This window comes from Homo sapiens, chromosome 11 (genome assembly GCF_000001405.40).
Source record: "Homo sapiens chromosome 11, GRCh38.p14 Primary Assembly".
In the NCBI taxonomy this organism is placed as follows: Eukaryota; Metazoa; Chordata; class Mammalia; order Primates; family Hominidae; genus Homo; species Homo sapiens.
Window position 1 is genome coordinate 88223659 of NC_000011.10, and position 837 is coordinate 88224495.

An 837-nucleotide genomic window follows, 5' to 3' on the forward strand; every position below is an offset into this window, starting at 1 on the left:
ACACACTTGAGGAGTCTGTCCGTTCTCTGATCTCAAGGTGCATGCTGGGAGAACCACTACTCTCTTCAAAGCTGTCAGACAGGGTCATTTAAGTCTGCAGAAGTTTCTGCTGCCTTTTGTTTGGCTATGCCCTGCCCCCAGAGGTGGAGTCTACAGAGGCAGGCAGGCCTCCTTGAGCTGTGGTGGGCTCCACCCAGTTGGAGTGCCCTGGCCGCTTTGTTTATCTACTCAAGCCTGGGCAATGGCAGGCACCCCTCTCCCAGCCTCGCTGCCGCCTTGCAGTTTGATCTCAGACTGCTGTGCTAGCAATGAGTGAGGCTCCGTGGGTGTCAGAGCCTCTGAGCCAGGCACAGGATATAATCTCCTGATGCTAAGGATATAATCTCCGTTTGCTAAGACCATCGGAAAAGTGCAGTATTAGGGTGGGAGTGACCCGATATTCCAGGTGCCGTCTGTCACCCCTTTCCTTGGCTAGGAAAGGGAATTCCCTCACCCCTTTTACTTCCCGGGTGAGGTGATGCCTCACCCTGCTTCAGCTCAGGCTCAGTGCACTGCACCCACTGTCCTGCACCCACTGTCTGACAATCCCCAGTGAGATGCACCTGGTAGCTCAGTTGTAAATGCAGAAATCATTCGTCTTCTGCATTGCTCACACTGGGAGCTGTAGACTAGAGCTGTTCCTATTTGGCCATCTTGGCTCTACCCTTATTTTCTAGTTTCTAAAGAGAGTTTATTCCAAGCAGAAAGGTTGAGATGGTCCCACATGGGAAGCACAGATTCCTAAGAATGAAAATCAGTGTTCCAAAGTGTAGAGGTGTGGGGTTACTTATATAGAGA

At 51.4% G+C, this 837-nt stretch overlaps 1 annotated feature.

The window, feature by feature from the left end:
• Positions 432-632: a silencer, noted in NCBI's record as "fragment chr11:87957258-87957458 (GRCh37/hg19 assembly coordinates)". NCBI's record gives its function as "represses an EF-1alpha promoter that drives an FKBP-Casp9 reporter gene in an ReSE screen in HepG2 liver carcinoma cells and phorbol 12-myristate 13-acetate-treated (for megakaryocytic differentiation) K562 erythroleukemia cells {active_cell/tissue: HepG2 | K562(+PMA)}" and the evidence as "EXISTENCE:reporter gene assay evidence [ECO:0000049][PMID:32094911]".